Source organism: Homo sapiens, chromosome 1 (genome assembly GCF_000001405.40).
Source record: "Homo sapiens chromosome 1, GRCh38.p14 Primary Assembly".
Lineage (NCBI taxonomy): Eukaryota > Metazoa > Chordata > Mammalia > Primates > Hominidae > Homo > Homo sapiens.
Window position 1 is genome coordinate 210,359,648 of NC_000001.11, and position 18,826 is coordinate 210,378,473.

At 43.2% G+C, this 18,826-nt stretch overlaps 1 protein-coding gene, 1 long non-coding RNA gene and 1 pseudogene across 19 annotated transcripts in view, besides 3 other annotated features; 1 reads left to right on the forward strand and 2 right to left on the reverse strand.

Moving 5' to 3' along the window:
* HHAT (hedgehog acyltransferase) overlaps window positions 1-18,826 on the forward strand; it is a 348,963-nt gene that overhangs the window by 32,320 nt on the left and 297,817 nt on the right. For 14 of the 18 annotated variants that reach the window (XM_047424804.1, NM_001122834.4, NM_001170564.3 and 11 more), the window contains one exon: window positions 3,205-3,272. The exons of the other annotated variants lie outside the window; for them this stretch is intronic. In XM_047424804.1, coding sequence (XP_047280760.1) covers window positions 3,205-3,272 — 68 coding nt within the window. The remainder of the gene's footprint in view (window positions 1-3,204; window positions 3,273-18,826) is intronic. 18 annotated transcript variants of the gene reach the window in all.
* LOC124904503 (uncharacterized) lies at window positions 3,231-7,299 on the reverse strand. Its single transcript, XR_007066866.1, has 2 exons — window positions 7,140-7,299; window positions 3,231-5,534 (listed from the first exon to the last, which is right to left on the reverse strand). It is a non-coding gene; the product is annotated as an uncharacterized LOC124904503 (long non-coding RNA).
* Window positions 13,401-14,313: an enhancer, noted in NCBI's record as "OCT4-NANOG-H3K27ac hESC enhancer chr1:210546392-210547304 (GRCh37/hg19 assembly coordinates)". NCBI's record gives its function as "activates a minimal SCP1, AML or CMV promoter by ChIP-STARR-seq in primed H9 embryonic stem cells {active_cell/tissue: H9 hESC(primed)}" and the evidence as "EXISTENCE:reporter gene assay evidence [ECO:0000049][PMID:30033119]".
* Window positions 14,314-15,225: an enhancer, noted in NCBI's record as "OCT4-NANOG-H3K27ac hESC enhancer chr1:210547305-210548216 (GRCh37/hg19 assembly coordinates)". NCBI's record gives its function as "activates a minimal SCP1, AML or CMV promoter by ChIP-STARR-seq in naive and primed H9 embryonic stem cells {active_cell/tissue: H9 hESC(naive and primed)}" and the evidence as "EXISTENCE:reporter gene assay evidence [ECO:0000049][PMID:30033119]".
* On the reverse strand, window positions 14,507-14,620 carry RNU5A-8P (RNA, U5A small nuclear 8, pseudogene; annotated as a pseudogene).
* Window positions 14,901-14,990: a silencer, noted in NCBI's record as "silent region_1780". NCBI's record gives its function as "represses an Ori minimal core promoter by ATAC-STARR-seq in GM12878 lymphoblastoid cells {active_cell/tissue: GM12878}" and the evidence as "EXISTENCE:reporter gene assay evidence [ECO:0000049][PMID:35858748]".

Below are 18,826 nucleotides of genomic sequence, written 5' to 3' on the forward strand. Positions count from 1 at the left end.
AGGAGTTCGAGACCAGCCTGACCAACATGGGGTTTTAGTAGAAACCCCGTCTCTACTAAAAATACAAAAATTAGCTGGGCATAGTGGTGCACACCTGTAATCCCAGCCACTTGAGAGTCTGAGGCAGAAGAATCACTTGCACCCAGGAGGTGGAGGTTGTAGTGAGCCAAGATCGCACCACTGTACTCCAACCTAGGCGACAGAGCGAGACTTCTGGGAAAAAACAAAAAAAAAACCCAGTCTCCGAATTTTTGGGAGACTGATTTCGGTAATAATAAAACTCCCATCTGACATTTAGGCAGCTCTGTGTGAATTAAATTTCTCTATTGCAATTCCTCTGTCTTGGTAAATCTGCTGTATCTAGGCAGTGGGCCGAATGAACCCAAAGGGCGGTTACCAGAAGATATAATCAGAAATTCTGAGGGTTACTGCAGCTTGTGGAAAGATGTCCTGCCACAGGTTCTCCTGTATCAACTACATTCTGCAGCTGGGATTTTCAGCTAACTTAAGACAATTTGAAAACAGTGAGTTCCAAACAGGTCATGAATGGATTTAAGTTACAATTTAAAATTTATGTCAGGGAGCATTTGTGTCAAGAAATGAGACAAAGGTGATTTATATGAATTCTCCAAAACATGAGGAAAGGTTGTTTTTGTGTTTTTTTTTTTTTGTTTTGTTTTGATATGAAGTTTCGCTCTTTTTGCCCAGGCTGGAGTGCAATGGTATGATCTAGGCTCACCACAACTTCTGCCTCCTGGGTTCAAGCAATTCTCTTGCCTCAGCCTCCCGAGTAGCTGGGATTACAGGCGCCTGCCATCACGCCCAGCTAATTTTGTATTTTTAGTAGAGATGGAGTTTTTCCATGTTGGCCAGGCTGGTCTTGAACTCCTGACCTCAGGTGATCTGCCCACCTTGGCCTCCCAAAGTGCTGGGATTACAGGCGTGAGCTACCGCGCCTGGCCGAGGACAGATTTTTGGTCTAGAGCTATGCTGTCCAATATTGTACTCGTGGGCCACATCTGGATAGGGAGCATTTGAAATGTGGCCAGGCCAAATTGAGGTGTGCTATAAAGATGACATGTAAATAGGATTATAAAGAATTAGAAAAAGGGAATGTAAAATAACTCATATAACTGTTTAATATTGATTTTATATTGAAATACAATTTTGGATATATTGGAATAAATAATTAACTTCACTTTTTTTTTTTTTTTTTTTAACTTTGTGGCTATTAGAAACTTTAAAATTTTAAGTGTGGTTCGTGTTCTATTTCTGTTGGACAGCACTAGGCAAGATTTCATTATAATTCTCTTGTCTGCTATGGGGTTCCTTTCTCCCACTAGAGGGAGATATGTTCCAGCCTCAGGAAATCTGAGGCTAGCGTGTAAATGCCACTGCTTTTGAATGAACTCTTAAAGAAGCACCAAAAAAAAGAGCTTAAGTTTTTGCTTTGTTTTAATCCCGTGTAACTCTGATGTTTCTAAAGGTTGCAGTTTCTGTGAAAGTGAAGCCAAAACAGAAGCGGGAAGAGGCAGAAAGTTTTTCTACCCTCTTTGCCTTAATGAATTCAGAGGTTTCTGTTACTTCTTTGTTGGATCACAGTAACTTGTCATTTGTTTGCCAATTGTTCCTTTGGACTTGAGTCTGTGTGTCTGTGTGCAGTGCAACACGCAAATAGGTGCGTGCACGCACACACAATGGTCTTGCGTGCAGCTGTCACAGAGAGGACCAGTGCCCTACTGCAATCACACACCTCCATGGCACACCCAGATCACTTGGATTGCACTGTGGCTGGGGCTCCTGGAGGTGTGCGGTGTGTACCCTGGGCCGGTTTGCAAGCCCCTCTCTTTTCTGTTGTTACTAAATGTTGCCTGTGGTCTGACGCTTGGCTTGCTGTTTGCATCTGGTGTGTGTGAATCTGCCCCTTGATCCTACTCTGAAACCAGCATTATTTCATGATTATATTTTAGTGACAGCACTCTCTCCTGGGTTTCCTTCTGGATAGCTCCTTTTTGGTTTCTTGAGGTTTTTATACTTTTGTTGATCTGATATGCATTAATATTTCCCCATTCTTGTCTATGTACTCTTTGTCCTTTTTTGGGGGGGAATCTCAGCCATTCTGGTGGTTTTGTCCCACCCTTATACTGAGAACTTGTAAGTCTTTATCTCCAGCTTAGAGCATTCCTTTGAGCTCCACCCGCATCCATGCAGTTGCCTACAGGACATCGCACAGACCTCAGCATCGGCTCCCACAGCATTCCTTCCTGCATCATGGCACTGATCAGCACTATCATAGTTTCTTATTCTGTGTTTGTCTATCTTCCCCAGCATACAGTAAGCCCCAGGAAGACAAAAGCCACGCCAGTCTGGTTCCATTTCATTGCTAGTATCTTGTACTGTGTCTGGTTACTGTACCTCCTCAAGAAGTGTTGGCAGATTTTATTTTATCTTTTGTTTCAAATCAACTGTATTGTTTACTTACAAACATGCTCATTACCATTATATGACTATTTTATTATATTTTGTTAGCATTATATCATAGCGGATCCAATCACCATAGTTTTGTGGCATAGTCTGTGTCAAAATTTCTTTTTTTTTTTTTTCTTTTCTTTTTTGAGATGGAGTCTTGCTCTTGTTGCCCAAGCTGGAGTGCAATGGCATAATCTTGGCTCAATGCAACCTCTGCCTCCCAGTTGAAGCAATTCTCCTGCCTCATTCTCCTGACCATGCCACCACACCTGGCTAATTTTTGTATTTTTAGTAGAGATGGGGTTTCACCACATTGGTCAGGCTGGTCTCAAACTCCTGAACTTGTAATCCGCCCGTCTTGGCCTCCCAAAGTTTTGGGATTACAGGCGTGAGCCACCATGCCCGGCCCAAAATTTCTAACAGCGTGTGCACATGGGCCATTTGCAGTAACCCTTCCCATGTTTTCCTGTGTTGGAAACTCTTCTCCTTTGCTGTCTCCTTTTGTGACCCTTATTACAAGCCAAGTTTCCATCAGTGGCTCTACATATTTCCAGGAACTTAGGTCACAGAACACTGGAAAGCAAGGTCAAGGAGTGTGGTATGTTTCCGTGCCTGCACCTTAGTCCACTGGCTGCTTTTCCAGGACATAGTCCAATTCTTTCAGTGCTTCAGCTCTTCAGCCAGCCCAGTTTTGTTTAGATTTGTGACTAACGAAGACTTTTTTTTTTTGGTCAGAACACGAAGAGGAGCTGGACCAGGAATTTGAGCTGGAGACTGACACTTTATTTGGAGGATTAAAGAAGGTACAAAGTGGATGCATAATAAATCTCAGTTTTCAAACCTGATTTCAATATTTCACATCACATTTGTATTTGGAGTCGATCCAGGTATCAGATTCAGCAGCAATCTGGAATGAAGCACCCTTTTTGCCGTAAAGGTGTGAGTGTGCTGTGTTGGGGAAGGCGTTCCCAGGGTCTCTATGTTCTTGTCCCCTGTACTCTTCTGAAGATACCAGAAATGTGACTAACCTTATCAGTTAGGACAGTTTTCACTTTTGTAAAGCTCAGAAACTTCCTACTTGACCTAGCCAGATCCATCAGAATCACATGCGGCCCCTGGACGCTCCTATACCAACTGCCGGCAGCTGCAGGAACATCTTCCTTCTGGCCTCTGAGTGTCCCTGGCTGTCCATGCTGCTGCAGAGCATGCTGGGAATTCACATCCCTCGTCCCTCTGGTAGGGCGGTGCCAGGTGGCTGGCTCGCTTGTCTTCAGCAGCAGCTCATTTTGTCTACTTTGGTAGCAGGCAGAGTGGCCACTGTTCTTTCACATACCCATGTCTTTCTAGATGTGACCAGTAGCACTTCTGTGCTAGAGTATATATTCTGGGTAGGTACCAGACCCTTCTCTTCCAGTTGAGAGATGCCTGACTACTTTTTTCTCCCACCAGAACCCCTGTCCCTTTTAGGCTGGGGTTCTTCTCATTCTTCTCCATTCAGTTTCTCAGGACCCCATTTCAGCTATGACTTGGACTGTAGGGGGTCCAGGGCCCAGGTCATGGTGGGGGCTTCGGGTCAAGGCTAATTATTGGCTGTATATTTGTTTTCTAAGTATTTTTATATGTTTTTAAAATGTTATCAGAGCAGTTTGTTTTGTTTTGTTTTCTATTTTTACTTTATGTAATATACCAAATAGATTACAGATTCAATCAGCCTTTTGTGGGCTGGCTTGGGACATAAAAGACACCTTGCATTCCAGGTTCTGAACACTCTGCTTGCAAATGAACTTTTGCAAGACAGTTCATTTCCAAGTTGGGTACTGCCTGTACTAATATTTTTCTATTGAAAGTTGCAGATCTTGCTTGAATTGTAACAAATGTAGCTCAATTTCCATTTTGATTTGCTAGGGTAGCCTGTTCCTTTCTCCCAGCTCTGTACAGAGCCATATGTAAGATACAAGGCCCATGTTTTTCTGTAACTGAGAAGAGCATCCTGCCCTGCATGGGGTGCCATTCTTGGCTTTTGTCGCTCTACCCACCAGATGCTTCCATGAAAACTTAGATGTAAATTGAATTTTCATCCATGGCATCCATTTCTAGATGTTTCTTATTTAAATAAGCCCTTTTTAGGATTGTTAATAAGAATGTAATGTGGGTAGTATTGTGCCCACTTCAGAGATGAGGAAATCTGGGAAGCTTTGTCACAAAGTGGAATTTGAGATGAAATAGGAGGTAGCCTTTCTGAGTGTCTCAGATCTACTCTTTACGAATGTAACACTAGCGGATGTCTTACAGCAGAAAAAAAGATGATTTTTTTTTCCTTTTAGAGTTAAAATTCAAGCATTTTAGATAATATTGGAAATATAGAATTATTTGCCAAGGCAAAAATAAGCAGACACATTTGAAAGACTTTTAGCTGCAGAGGAACAATGGTGAGGCAGCGTGAGAAAGTGAACACAGGGTCAGGCCCCAACAAGTTTTGGAGCTGCCACAGATTTCATGATCAAGGGCAGGCTCAGCCCAGCCATGCGTTGCTACTTCCAGACAAAGCGGCCTTGTCTTCACTGACTTCCCAGCTCTTGTCACTTCACTGGGTCAAGCCCAGCTGCTTGACTCCCTGCAGAGGCTCCAGAGTCCTGCAGAGATGACCCCTTCTCAGTGCTCTCCACAACAGCTCTCATAACAGGTCTGGGGTCGGGAGTGTTGTTGCTCAGGCCAATTCTGCCTTCACAGAAAAGTCCACGTGGCACAGACACACACACTCTGGGAGCTCCAAGGATTCCGTCTTTTGCCATCCTGACAAATCTGTCCATCCCTCTGTCTGACTATCCATTCATCTACCAGTGCTCTGAGCACCTCTCATCTTCTCATCTCTCTACTTCTCATCACCTTGCATGTGGGGTGGGTGGTTTGGAGCCCTAGAATTTACGGAGGAAATGGGTCCTGGTGAATATCCGGCAGAGGAAGGACATTGATATGGGTCCTTAGGATCAAGATACTCCTTGCTGAATATTTCTTTTCTCAGAGGCTGTAGGAAGTGGCAAGCACATGCTATTTTGGTCCAAATTCTAATCAAAAGAAGATATTAGATGTGACTAGAAATCATGACCTTTAGAAGAAAGCTTAGTTTTCTGACCAGCCCATCCCTTGAATGTTAGTCTGCAGCTGGGTTGGTAAACCTCAGTACTGCTGACAGTTTTTTTTTTTTTTTTTTTTTTTTTGAGACGGAGTCTCCCTCTGTTGCCCAGGCTGGAGTGCAGTGGTGTGATCTTGGCTCACTGCAACCTCTGCCTCCTGGGTTCCAGTGATTCTCCCACATCAGCTTCCTGAGTAGCTAGGATTACAGGCACCTGCAACCACATCCAGCTAATTTTTTTTATTTTTAGTAGAGATGGGGTTTCGCCATATTAGCCATGCTGGTCTCAAACTCCCAACCTCAGGTGATCCACCTGCATTGGCCTCCCAAAATACTGGGATTACAGGTGTGGGCCACCATGCCTGGCTGACATTTTATTTTGTTGAGATAGGGTCTCGCTCTGTAACCCAGGCTGGAGTGCAGTGGCACAATCTTGGCTCACTGCAACCTCCATCTCTCAGGTTCAAACAATTCTCTTGCCTCAGTCTCTTGAGTAGCTGGGATTATAGGCACACACCACCACGCCTGGCCAATTTTTGTATTTTTAATAGAGATGGGGTTTCACCACGTTGGCTAGGCTGGTCTCAAACTCCTGACCTCAAGTGATCCACCTGCCTCAGCCTCTCAAAGTGCTGGCATTAGAATCATGAGCCACCATGCCTGGCCACATTTTATTAAAAAAAATTTTTTTTTTTGAAGAGATGTGATCCTGCTCTGTCACCCAGGCTGGAGTACAGTGGTTGTAATCATAGCTCACTGGAGACTTGAACTCCTAGGCTCAAACGATCCTTCTGCCTCAGCCTCTTGAGTAGCTGGGACTACAGACATGCACCACCATACCTGGCTGATTTTTAATATTTTGTAGAGATGGGGTCTCACTATATTACCCAGGCTGGTCTTGAACTCCTAGCCTCAGCCTTCCAAAGCACTGGGGTTACAGGTGTGAGCTATGCTGCCTGGCCACTACTGACATTCTAGATTAGATGGCTGTTGTGGTGAGCTGCTCTGGACGTTGTACAATGCTTATCAGAGTCCCTGGACTCTACCTAGTAGATGCTAGCAGCATTTCCTGCCCTAAGCCTTAACAATTTTAAAAAGTGGGCTGGGTGTGGTGGCTCACTCCTGTAATCCCAGCACTTGGGAAGGCTAAGACCAGCGATCATTGAGGTCAGGAGTAGCCTGGCCAACATGATGAAACTCCATGTCTACTAAAAATACAAAAATTACAGCCAGGTGTGTGCCTGTAATCCCAGCTACTCCAGGGACTGAGACACAAGAATTGCTTGAACCCGGGAGGTGGAGGTTGTAGTGAGCAGAGATCGTGCCACTGCACTCTGCACTCCAGCCTGGGTGTCAGAGTGAGACCTTGTCTCTAAAAATAAAATCAAAAACAAGAAACAATTTAAAAAGTCTCCATGCATTGCCAAATGCCCCCAGGAGGCAAAAATCATCCCCTTTTAAGAGCAGCTGGTCTATAGCAATATTTAAGGGCTCTTAAATGACCACTCCCTTGGTCATGCCGATTTGCCATTCTTACCTTTACTCATCCTGTTCCTCTTCTGGATTGGGGCTCACGCCTTCCCTGTCCGGCCCTTACTCAGACTTCAGATCATAGCTGGCTCCCTGTCACGAAGCATTGCCTGAAGCTCAAGCTGAGCTTGGTGCTCATAGTTCCTGACACTTCCCTGCCTCTCTCTTTACTTCCTTCCACAAATACAGCTTTCAATGAGAGTGTCTCTGTGCTCAAGTCCATATGGAGCGCTGGGGACAGTGGTGAGCCAGACAGACAACATTCCTATGCTAGTTTCTCCTACTAGGGACAGGCTGACCGCAAACAAATGAACAATGGCCACAGATTGAGCTAAATGACATGAAGGCAGTAAACAGGGTGATAGGATAGCACTCTTTTGGGTGAAATCGTGTACCCTATTATGACAAATTTATTTGTAGAATTTTATTTGATGTTGTCCTTTCTGACTTAGATTGTGGGTCCCACAAAAGCAGGGCTGGGATTTAATCATTTCTGTATCTTCAATGCCTGGAGCAGAGTCAGTGAGTATTTTATTGAATTTAACTGCAGGAAAGAGTGAAGGGCCAGGTTGCAGCATGGAGGTGAGAAATACATTGGTCCTACGTGCCTCTAGATAGCCATGTAGGTAAGTGGGCTAAGTGGGACAGTGTGTAGAGTCAGAGTAGGGAGACACCATTCTGGGCACAAAAAATCACAAACTGCTTCTGGGAGAAGGGGGCTGACCTTCACCTGAGCTCCAGAGAATGAGTAGGATTTGGCAAGATCATCAGTAGAGGAGATGCTGTTCCAGTGGTGTTGCTATGGTTAGAAAAGGGAAGAATGTATTAGGGAAATGGTGAGTCAAAGTGAAGCTTCACTTAGGGCAGTGAAAGGGAGCTGGACCTGACTGTAGTCCTCCAGTTTTTGATGATGTTCAGGTTTGGAGGATTACAGCCCCAATCAAGAATGCTTTTGATCTTTGTCATTTCTTTGAGGGTAATGCTGATTGCACTTGCCAAGACAACAGAAGTGGTGTGGGTGCTTGCGTAGGTGCGGCTGTCAAGGGCTGTTCAGACTCCATATGCTTTGGTTTTTGCATCCTTTTTTTGTAATGTTTGCTCTTCCAGGCTGTCAGGGTAAAAGCCCCTCCCCCACCCCCCACCCCCTGCAGGCTCCAGTGTGCTGTGCTAGAATGGGGTGAACCCAGCCTTGCTGGGTTCTGGGGTGATCTGTCGTTGTATTTGCCAGTCCCTTTTTCTTTCTTCTTGCTGGTCTTCTCTCTAGTGATGCCAGGGAGATAGGGGAAATATTTCAGTGCCCACATTGCGTGCTCGATGAAGTAAACATGTTTCTAGACAGTAGCATCTGAACCAAACTGATACAAATGAAGTTCTATGTCAGGTATATTGTCATTCATTTTTTTCCTTTTATTTAGGATTCAAGATCATAGATTCTTGGCATAATGGAAAGAGCACAGGTTTGGAGTTGGATGGGCTTAAGTTCAAATTTGGCTTTGCTACATCTGAGAAAATAATTTGCCTCCTTTTTAAAAAAATGTATGTATTTTTTTGAGACAGGCTGAAGTACAGTGGCATGATCTTGGCTCACCATAACCTCTGCCTCCCAGGTTCAAGTGATTCTCTTGCCTCAGCCTCCTGAGTAGCTGGGGTTGCAGGCGTGTGCCACCACACTCAGCTAGATTTTGTATTTTTAGTAGAGATGCGTTTCGCCATGTCGGCCAGGCTGGTCTTGAACTCCTGGCCTCAAGTGATCCACCTATCTCAGCCTTCCAAAGTGCTGGGATTACAGGCATGAGCCACTGTGCCTGGCCTCATTTACCTCCTTTTAGCCTCAGTTTTATTACCTGCAACATGGGAATACAAGGTTATGGAGAAAGAGGTGATGGACAGAAAACACCCAGCATGCTTGTACTTAGTACAGAATAGATACACAATACCTGTTACTGTGGTTATTGTTACTTTTTTCTTCCATGGATGAATAATTCCTTCCTTTAGCATTAAGAATTACTGATTCTTGGTCGGGCACAGTGGCTCACGCCTGTAATCCCAGCACTTTGGGAGGCCGAGGTGGGCGGATCACCTGAGGTCAGGAGTCCACGACCAGTCTGGCCAACATGGTGAAACTCCGTCTCTACTAAAAATACAAAAATTAGCTGGATGTGGTGGCGGGTGCCTATAATCCCAACTACTTGGGAGGCTGAGGCAGGAGAATCGCTTGAACCCGGGAGGCGGAGGTTGCAGTGAGCCAAGCCTGCGCCATTGCACTCCAGCCTGGGCAACAAGAGTGAAACTCTGTCTCAAAAAAAAGAAAGAAAAAAAAAAAGAATTGCTGATTCTCCCTCTGTAGCAAGGAGGTAACGTTCTACAGAGAGACATTTACATGTAGAGGGGGACTGCTGTTGAAAGGAGCTCTCAAAATCCTAATGCATTATGAAGAGTGTTACAAGTAATCAATTCTGTTCTTTCCTGAGGACACATTTTCCCATGACAGGTTTCTGAAATTGGGGCAGACCTCTAAATAAGCTGTTCTTTCAGAAGTAAAATCAGAGAGGACTTTCCATTGCCTGTGAGGAGGCTTAGGAAGAAGAGACAGAGGCAGACGGGAGCTTGAATACGAATGACTATGAACATAGATAAAGAGGTACTTCTATAAAGACACAGTTCTTAGCTACTCATGCTTTGCCCATGAAGATTTTTAAGATTTGGCTTATTTATAAATGCCTCTGCATTTTAATACTTCAGGAAAACAACATTCCATTTTGACTCATTTAACACATGAGTTAAATGCACACCTGCTGTGTAAGCAGCTTCCAGGCCACGTGCCAGGGATGCTGTGACATTCCAGGCTCAGTCTCTGTCCTAAGTGGGCTCTGAAGTTTGGGGGAAGGTGATGATGTGACAGTGAGCTGGTGGTGCAACAGCCACTGGGGCTTGTAGAGACAGAGGGTGCAGAGAACCCCAGCGGCAGGGACTGAAGGGAGGTGATGGCTGGGAGACGGGAAAGGTAGGTGAAGGGTATAGCATGCCTGACGACCTGGATTTGAGTGAAATAAATTTGGCTTGGCTAGAAGGTTGAGTTGTGAGGAGGGCAAATGACTCAAGACAGGGAGGGGATAGATCGTAAAGGCCATGAAGTGCCATATGCGGAGTCTGGACTTTATCCAGAAGGCAGTGGTCAGTCATTGAAGGGTTTCAGGTGCCATTTGTTCTGTGGACTCTTTCTGGAGCCCTCTGACTGATTTTCCTGCCTTGCCCTGTCTCTCTCTTCTTTCTCTTCTCTCTCTGCATACACATATACACACACACACTCTTGATCTGTTAGTTTTGCAGAGCTAAACCCTTGATTCTACCTTCACCTTATTTTCTCCTAGCTTCTTCAATGACTTTTTTTTTTTTTTTTTTTTTTTTTTCCTGAATGCAGAGTCTCACTGTGTCACCCAGGCTGGAGTGCAGTGCATGATCTTGGCTCACTGCAACCTCTGCCTCCTGGGTTCAAGCGATTCTCCTGCCTCAGCCTCCCAAGTACCTGGGATTACAGGTGCCCATCACCATGCCTGGCTAATTTTTGTATTTTTAGTAGAGATGGAGTTTCACTATGTTGGCCAGGCTGGTCTTGAACTCCTGACCTCATGATCCACCCATCTTGGCCTCTCAAATTGCTGGGATTACAGGTGTGAGCCACTGCATCTGGCCTTTAAGGACCTTTTTAATGAAACAAATAATATTTCCCATGAACTACTAGATAGAAGAGAGAGAGAACAGAGCAGGGTACCTGGTGGCTAAAAATTAATAAGCAAATTTGATGTTTATCCATTCACATTGCAGATGCTATTTTTTTTTTTTTTTTTTTTTGGAGACGGAGTCTCACTCTGTCACCCAGGCTGGAGTGCAGTGACATGATCTTGGCTCACTGCAACCTCCGCCTCCCGGGTTCAAGCGATTCTCTTGCCTCAGCCTCCCGAGTAGCTGGGACTACAGGCATGTGCCACCATGCCCAGCTAAGTTTTTGTATTTGTAGTAGAGACGGGGTTTCACCGCATTAGTTAGGATGGTCTTGATCTCCTGACCTCGTGATCCACCAGCCTTGGCCTCCCAAAGTGCTGGGATTACAGGCATGAACCACCACACCTGGCTGCAGATCCTATTTTTACGTTAGGCAGAGAGCTACAATTCCTATTCCTGTTCTCACCAGGAAATCACTAACATCTTACATTTTTCCTACCTGTCCGCAAATTTACATGTCAGGAAGAAAATCTAGCATGGATGAGACTAGACAAAAGGTCATGTACTGATGGGTAAAGAGCCGGCATTCTTTGTGTTCACAAGAAGGAAGCAAACCTGACCTTCCATCACCAATCATGGGTTTCTTTTTTTTCTTATTTATTTTTTTGAGACAGAGTCTCACTCTATTGCCTGTGTTAGAGTGCAGTGGCACAACCATGGTTCACTGTAACCTCTGCCTCCCAAGTTCAAGCGATTCTCGTGCCTCAGCCTCCCAAGCAGGGCCTACAGGCATGTGCCATCATACTTGGCTAACTTTTTGTATTTTTAGTAGAGACAGGTTTTCAACATGCTGGCTAGGCTGGCCTCAAACTCCTGTCCTCAAGTGATCCACCTGCCTTGGCCTCCCAAAGTGCTGGGATTACAGGTGTGAGCCACCCTGCCTGGCCTAATCCATGGGTTTCTTGCCCCTGACATTTTGGAGACTCTTCAACCCACATTCTTTGGAGGGGCTGGCATGGAACACAGGAATCTGTCTCTGCTAAGCAAGCCTCTCTGGGAAGGGGAAAAACTGTATAAAATCCAGTTTTCTGGTAAGACAGGCTGAACATTCACGCACACAGCCAAATCACTTATTAATCTGCTCCCATCAGATGGAGGGAAGCAGAGAGATGACAGACATGCTGGAATAATCTTTGAGGGGCTGCGGCTTAATGAAAATGAGTTAAGGCCTAACCTCTGTAAACTCACCAGAGTTTACACACATGAAACAAAGCAAACGTTGCCAAGAGATCAATGTTCCTTTATAAGAAGTCCCCAACCCCAGTGGGCATATTCACCTCAATTCAGCAAACATTATCAAGAGTCTACTAATGTTTGAGGGAGTTCGATGCAAAGATGAAGACATTCCCACTGTTGAGAATGGTGAGAAATTTCTCAGTCACAAACCAGTCAGCTTACAAGTCAGTGCTTACTGCCTGCTTTCTGATCTGGGTTGTGATAATGCTGTGGGTTAAGGAATTAAGAGGCATTATTTCTCTACTCAACAAGTTTATACTCTATTTGAGAATTCCAGGAGGACACCCCTAGCTTTAATATGGCTGATGTGTGAAGTATTTAACAAGGGCCAGAGCTGTACACAGCCAGGACAATTGGCCCTGCTCGTGGGTCCTGCCTGAAAGCTGGCCCTGGCATGCCATTTAACAAAGTGTTTTCCATATGTATGATTGTCCCTAGTCGGTGTAGCCAAAAATTGCTGGGAGAGTTTCTAGCCTTGGAATGATCAGAGAAGACTCTCTGGAATAGGTGGATTGGAGCTGAGTCTTGAATAGAAGTACTATGTTTTGAACTGACCCAAGCCTATTTTGTTGTTTAACAAAAATAAAGTTCTTTGGTTTTACTCTTGGTAACTTCTGTCACTTGGAGATGGACAGGAGTTAAATGTCTTCTCTCCCACAACCTTGCCACCAAGTGGTATGTTAAACAGTGAAGGTGTCTAACTGAATTCTCCTACAAGTACAAACATTCATTAGGTAGGGAAGTACAAAACCATCATTGAACTTGTTCCTGAAAGCTTGTGAAGCCTCTATTGTCTGTCTTTAGGTACTCCAACAAGCATCTTGCACGGAAGTTCCTTCTGAGGCTGGTGCAATTCTATTCTGCTGGCTGAAGCAGTTACCCTTCTAGTCTGATTAGAGGATAGAGCCTTATTAAAGCAAAGGACACAGACCAAGAGAGTGTTAGACTTTCAGTGCTTTGGGTGCTGGGCTCAAGGGAGGTGTTTTTTTTTTTTTTTGTGATCCTTCTGGCTCAGCCTCCCAAAGTGTTGGGATTACAGGCGTGAGCCACTGTACCTGGCCTCAAGGGATTCTTACATACATGCTTCATTATTACAAGGGTATCAGAGCCTGAGAAAAATTTTAATCCATCACATATTGAGCACCATGCTTTTCATTACTAAAATATTTATTTCTAACATTCCTTATGCTAGTAAACTTTCAGGTGCAGCTTTAGGTACCATGTTGGAATTATTTGAATTGTAGTCATGTCTGGGAGTAGATTTCTGATTAGAATCCTTCAAATGCTAACTCACTCTTTGTGGACTCCTCATTTGGATACTTTCAATGTTAAGAACTGTCCTTAGAGGTGGATTAAAGTTAATTTACACACAAACATGGAAGTGCTGTAACATGATTCAGACTTATATAAGTGCCATAACAAGACTCAGAGAGAAAGGGGGACGGGATTATTCCAGCCTAGGGCAGGTTGAATAGTGGCGGGATCTGAAATTTGGGGGGAGGTATGGGGAAGTGGGAAGGAGGGAAAACATTTCCTTCTCTCAGTACATTTCCTAAAAGTGGTGCCTGTCAGCATTCTTAAAAAGGTTATTACCTTTTAAAATCATGACATGACAGTTGATAAGCCTTTGTTAAAAAGAAATTAAGCAGCAGCAGCAAGGTAAGAGCGAGATCACAGGGGCACGTGGGAGAAGATGTAAAGTGGGGTGTCTTTGTGTGGGGAACTGACTGATGCTACTTTCAGGGATGACAATAGCTGCCGAAAAGTTCGAGATGGATGAAGGTTTGTTATTCCATCATGATTTTGCTCCCAGGTTTAATGAAAGCAAAGCTCAGGTCAAATTCTATCTGGCATGTGTACGTTTATTAAACACTTACTAGGCAAGCAGTGGAAACCAGTTTACACCAAGCTGATCAGTGGAATTGATGGAGTCCTTTAAGGAGCTTGCATCACCACCTTGCATTGAATTTGTTACTAGGTAGATAGATAATAGAATGTTATCTAGAGAAGGATGGATTTGGGGCTTTTTTGCAGACAGGCAACCAGAAATTCTCCCAACTATGTGGCTGAGTTTAGGATCTTAAAGGCCATCACTTAAGGGGGAGTCTCCAAATTGTCTAAGCCAGTCTGTGTCTCCAATGTTAATGTTGCTAATTAGCAAGTCAGATGTCACCAGGGAAAGTTACACAGACTTTTATCATGCAAGTATTCAGACCTTTGACATGGAAAACAAGAGTTAACTGTCTTTGCAAGTTCTGTTACACAATGTTTAAACAAACAGTGACAATGAATCACTTAAGCCTAAAGTTGCACCATAATGTTTTCCTCTTTAAGTCTTTTTTTATAAAACATGATCTGCCTCCCCAGGGCAAGGCTTACAAAAAATTAGCTTATAACTGATTTGTTTCTCTCCACGGAAATCTTTAGTAAAAGGCGAAAGATTTATTCGATCTGAAGAGAAACCAGTGTAATGCTACAAATTAGTTCAACTCATTGTTGCAGTAACCGCAACTCCTAGTACGCCGATGGTGCCTACAGTTCGCACAAAAAGAATTACTGCCTACAGTTTGCACAAAAAGAATTCTTTAATCTTCCCATAGTTAGAAATGTTGAGTCAAAAGAAATATTCTTTTAAGCTTTAAATAATTTACTATGTGCAGGGTACTATGGGTATGCAAATGAGATGTTGAGTCATCACCTTGAGATTCCACACCTTGTTATTCACCGGGTGCCTTTGGTGCTACCACTAGGGGGCGAAGTAGAGGCCATGCTAGCTGAGTTCTAAATCCCATCCTGGGTTAACCATGGAAACTCGTTTTAGCCCTTTTTGTATAATGGGACTTGGAGTACGATTTGTTATCTTTAGCATCATCTTATTTTGAAACAATTACACATTTACAGGAAGTTGCAGCAGTAGTACAGAGAGGCCTTGTGTACCTCTACCGAGCTTCCCCAGTGGGGAATCTTTTTTTTTTTTTTTTTAATCCCTTACTTTTAATTTTAGATTCCAGGGGTACATGTGCAAGTTTATTACCTGGGTATATTGTGTGACGCTGAGGTTGAGGGTATGAATGATCTTGTCACCCAGGTACTGAGCACAGTACCCAGTAGTTAGTTTTTCAGGCCTTACCAGTCCTCCCTGCCACCCCCCAGCAGTTCCTGGTGTCTGTTGTTGCTAACAGGAGAACCTGATGGTTAGCTCCCCAGTGGGGAATCTTCCATAGTGAACTCAAACCCAGGAACTTGACATTAGTACAACCCACAGACTTTAATCAGATTTCACCTGTTTTGCAAGCACTTACTTGTGTATATGTATATAGTTATATGTGGTTTTATCACATGTGTAGATTCATGTAAACACCAACATGACAAAGATACAGAACCTTGAAGAGCTACTCTGTGCTGCCTCTTTGATGGCCATACTCACCCTCCTCCTCTTCATCTCTAATCCCTGAAAAACCACAATGCTTTTAAATATATATGTATGTGTGTATGTGTATATACACACACACATTTAGGATTCTTATATCTTATTGGTGAGAAGATATTTTTATCATTCTGCAATGACCCTTTTTGACCCTGGTGATTTTCTTTCTCTGAAGTCTACTTTATCTGCCATTGGTAGAGCCACTCCCACTTTCTTTTGATTCATGTATGTATGCCATATCCTTTTTCATCTTTTAACTTTCCACCTCCCCATTTCATTATATTTAAAGTGAATTCCTGTGGACAGTCCAGAGTTGGGTCTTTTTTCTAGCAATCCATTCTGCCAAGCTCTGTCTTTTAATTGCTGTATTTAATTTGATTGGGGTTTATTCAGCTTCTTGAATTTGTAGGTTTATGCTTTTTGCCAAATTTGGAGATCTTTTTTTTTTGCCATTATTTCTTTGAACGTATTTTTAACCTCATATTTTTTCTTCTTTCCTTCTGGAAAATTTAATGACACCAATGTCAGATCTTTTGTTCTTATATCAAGGGTCTCTGAGGCTGTATTTTTTCAGTCAGTTTTCTCTCTCTTGTTCAGATTGGGTGATTTTTATTGACCTATCCTTAGGTTCAATAATTAAAAAAAAAAAAAAATCTCACTCTGTCATCCAGGCTGGAGTGCAGTGGCACAATCTTGGCTCACTGCAATCTCTGCCTCCCGGGTTCAAATGATTCTTCTAACCCTCCCAAGAAGCTGGGATTACAGGCATGTGCCACCATGCACAGCTAATTTTTTTTTTTTTTTTTTTTTTGTATTTTTACTAGATAGGGGGTTTTGCCATATCGGCCAGGCTGGTCTGGAACTCCTGGCCTCAAGTGATCCACCTGCCTCGGCCTCCCAAAGTTCTGGGATTACAGGCATGAGCCACCACGCCTGGCTCAATAATTCTTTCTTATGTAATCTACTTTTGCTATTAAGCCCATCTAGTAAGTTATATATTAAGTATAATGCATTAATGTAAATGTTAATATTTATATCAACATTTACTTAATACTTAATTTTGTTTTGCTTATTGTCGTTCCTTAGGCCCTGAGCTCTCTAGCCAGTCTGCTCTTTTCACCATTCACAATCCCCTTACATTCGTTTTATATGTTACATCCAAGGGTTTTAGCTGTCGTTAGTGGAGGGATAGGGATAAATGTGTGTACTATATCTTGTCTGAAAGCAGACGTCTCTGTGTTGTAGCTTGTGTTTTAAAGTAAGTCTTAGGCATCATAAATGAGTTATTTTATTAATACGCAAATAGATTTCTGAAGAAAGATGGTGGAAGTAATGGACTGTGGGGGAAGGATGGGGCAGTGTGCCCTGAGGATGTGGTGAGCCTTGGTCTCGTTCTTCTCTGTCTCTATTCCCAGTCTCCCAGGCCCCTGGGCTGCCTGTGACGGCTGGTGGGTTCAGGGGTGCGCTGGGTGGGGAGGTGTCTCTTGGACAGCTTGGGCAGCTAATGGGCAAAGGGGACAGATGTAAAGATGTATGGGAGAACTCCAGCATAGTTCTGCTCACCTGTTTCCCTGGTCTTTCAGGCAGTGTGTAAAGTAGAAAGGTGGTAGCTGGGATTATGGAGGGTTCCCTTCTTCTTCCCCTAGATAGATGGCAAAAATGTTAGTTCTCCCTTTTTCTCTCTGAGATCACACTTTCTTTAATTGGCCTTCTGCCCTGGGGGCCTCCAACATTTTGGGACTCCATGTGGAGTTCCAGTTTGCTATGTCTGCCCACTGCAGAGATGTTCTGTACAAATCAGCTTTCTTGCATATGTGAAGACTTCCTAAGTATAAAGTAAGTTCTTTGAGTGTGAGGATCATTTTAGGGGCTGTGGCCCCCAACAGGCTGGGGATCTTTTTTCCTTCCACGTTATTGTGACTCACTTTGTCTTTTTGATATTCTGGGAAAGTGACACTAATGGTATGTGTGATTTATTAGCATAGTTTGAAGCTGAGGAATCATGATTCTGTGTAATTTGTTCTCTAGTCATCTCATTCTATTACATTTTTTTCATCATCTCCAATTTGTTTATCACCTTTTTTCATTGTTTATAGCTCTTTTTTCCATATGCTGTGTAGAAAATAGTGTTTTTCCAATTTGAGAGATGTGGGGAAAATAATACAGTTTTGTGCCTTCAACTTCACCCTGAAACTTAATATTTCTTTTTAAGCATTTGATTCCTTCTTTGCTGGCTTTAGGAGGAAAGGAAAGGTGGGAATATGGCATAGACAGAGCAGGGAGACAGAATCTATTCAAGTTAAACCGAATAGACTCTGCAGTCTTGCTCTCCTGCATAATCCAAAGTGACTTCTGAGAAACAGGTCAGTAGGTAGAGTTGTGACCAGAGGATGTTACTGAGTTTAGGTTGGCAGTTGGGCTGAAGATACGCAAAATAACTTACCCATGTTAATTAGGTCCTCTTGATGTAATTAAACCCTCTTAAGAGGCTTTCTCTTTTCTTCTCCCACAAAACACCTCCCCTTTACCATTTTACACTGGACCAATTTGCCTGGCTTCTGTGGCGAGGGGCAATGAAGAGGCTGGGAATGGTACACAGTAGAACAGGGCAGCCTGTGCCTGTCCTGTTGGCAGCATCCCTGCCCTTGCAAGCAACTTCACCTATGCAGGAGGGTGAAGATGTTTCAGTAGGGACTTTGTTATTTACAGAAAAAAAGGTTTTATTAGTGGAAGCATTTTATCTTTAAGAAAGTATTGATTGAGAGAGAGTGTTGTCTCTGGAAATTGTAAGCAGTAAAATGATTTAGTTCAAATTCTTTTAGAAATAGAAAAGCAGCTGTTGAAGGAAAAAGAAAACTCTTCCAATAATTGCTCAATGAATCATTAGCCTGAGTTCATTCGGAGAGCAGTGCCTCTTTTGTGCAGAATTCTTACAAAATTAGTCTCCTTTTGTGTTTCTTGTCTGGAGATTTACGGGCCATTAAGGTCAGTTTGCTGCCTTTGAATGTGCAGGGAAACATTTATGATTTCAAGAACCTTATAAAGGTTTTCCCTGATCTTGGATAAGTCTTACTCAGTGTAATTAGAAATTATATATGGTCTCAAAGTAAACAATAAGCAAATAATGCTATTTAGGAAATAGGTACAGAAACATGTATAGTATTTCTGTAGTATTTTATTTTTACAACTTGCTAGATATAAGGATAAGGAAAATAGTAAATATATTCAGCTCTATACTGTTTTCTCTG